The sequence below is a fragment of the Homo sapiens genome, chromosome 15, assembly GCF_000001405.40.
Source record: "Homo sapiens chromosome 15, GRCh38.p14 Primary Assembly".
NCBI lineage: Eukaryota > Metazoa > Chordata > Mammalia > Primates > Hominidae > Homo > Homo sapiens.
This window is the reverse complement of record NC_000015.10, coordinates 68433870-68435332: the sequence shown is the minus strand read 5'-3', so window position 1 is coordinate 68435332 and position 1463 is coordinate 68433870. Positions and strand designations below refer to the sequence as shown.

At 42.4% G+C, this 1463-nt stretch overlaps 1 annotated feature.

The window, feature by feature from the left end:
- Positions 1169-1463: a silencer, noted in NCBI's record as "tiled region #1870; HepG2 Repressive non-DNase unmatched - State 21:Repr, and K562 Repressive non-DNase unmatched - State 21:Repr". NCBI's record gives its function as "represses a minimal TATA promoter and a strong SV40 promoter by Sharpr-MPRA in HepG2 and K562 cells {active_cell/tissue: HepG2 | K562}" and the evidence as "EXISTENCE:reporter gene assay evidence [ECO:0000049][PMID:27701403]".

Below are 1463 nucleotides of genomic sequence, written 5' to 3'. Positions count from 1 at the left end.
TAGCACTTGTACATTGTTGGTAGGAATCTAAAATGATGTAGCAACTGTGGAAAATAGTTTGGCAGTTCCTCAAATGATTAAACATAAAATTACTATATGATCAGCAATTCCACTCCTAGGTGTATACCCAAGAGAACTGAAAACATACATTCATACAAAAACTTGTATGAACATTATGCTAACATTATGCTATGTTAATGGATGGTAGAACTGCTACCAGCAAGACCGGCAGCACAAGTGTTCATAGCCACATTATTCACAATAACCTAAAGTGGAAACACCTAAATAAGCCTCACCTGATGAATGGATAAACAAAAGGGGGTAGATCCATACAATGGAATGTTACTTGGCAATAAAAAGGAATGAAATACTGATACATGTTGCAACATGGATGAACCTTGGAAACATCATGCTAAGGGAAAGAAGCCAGACTCAAAAGGTCACGTATTATATGATTTCATTTATATGCAACGTCCAGAATAGGCAAATCCATAGAAATAGATTTGTGGTTGCCAGGGACTGGTGGGAAGGAATGGGGAGTGACTGCTCATGGTTACAGGGCTTCTTTTTGGGGTGATAAAAATATTGTGAAATTAGTGAGGATGATTTTACAATCTTGTGAATATACTAACAACTACTGGATTCTATGGCACAGTTTATGGCATGTGAATAAATAAATCAGTTAAAACACTGTGTACATGTAAAGAGTTATTATTATTATTCAACAGAAATCACAGCTTTCATAAAGCCCTTCACCAAATTCTCTGCAGTTCTCCAGCCTTAGAGTCTGGATTGTGCACTTGTCACTCATATGCTGCTGCCTTGGGTGTGATTTAAATAATGTTTAATAGTGATGAAATAATAAATGGTTTTAAATAGATTAATAAATAACAGATTATGATTAAATAAATACATGGTTATGTCTTGTCTCCTCAGCTCCATCACCAGCTGCCCTAGTGTGGGGTTCTCCTTCCGTGTGTCCTACAGAGCACAGGGGCACAGTAGGCACTCTGTAGGATCTGTTGAAAGAACAAATGAGGGCACACCTCTCCCCTCACCCTCCCACATTACACAAAAGCACACAGAGTGATCCTCAGGACCCCCATTCCCCAGGCACCTGTGAGGACGGTGAAGGTGAATGAATGGTAGAATTGTTACCAGCGAGACCAGCAGCAGCGCAGCTAGGACAGCCACTACAGTGCGCCCCTTCAGCAAGCAGCATGCAGACTCTGAGCACAAGCTGCAGACCACCCACACGTCAGAGGTGCCTGGGGCACCCACCAGCATGCCCTGATCCTTGGGGAATTTGCATTCTTTGCACGTGCTCCAGGTCGTTCTGATGCACCTGGAGATTTGTGCAAGGCAGGAATGTGGGCTGCAGCCCATTCCCTAGCTGTAGGGGTGTTCTACATTCAACTCAGCTGGCTTAAACTCAACTCAGTGAAGAGGACTCACTGTCGTAT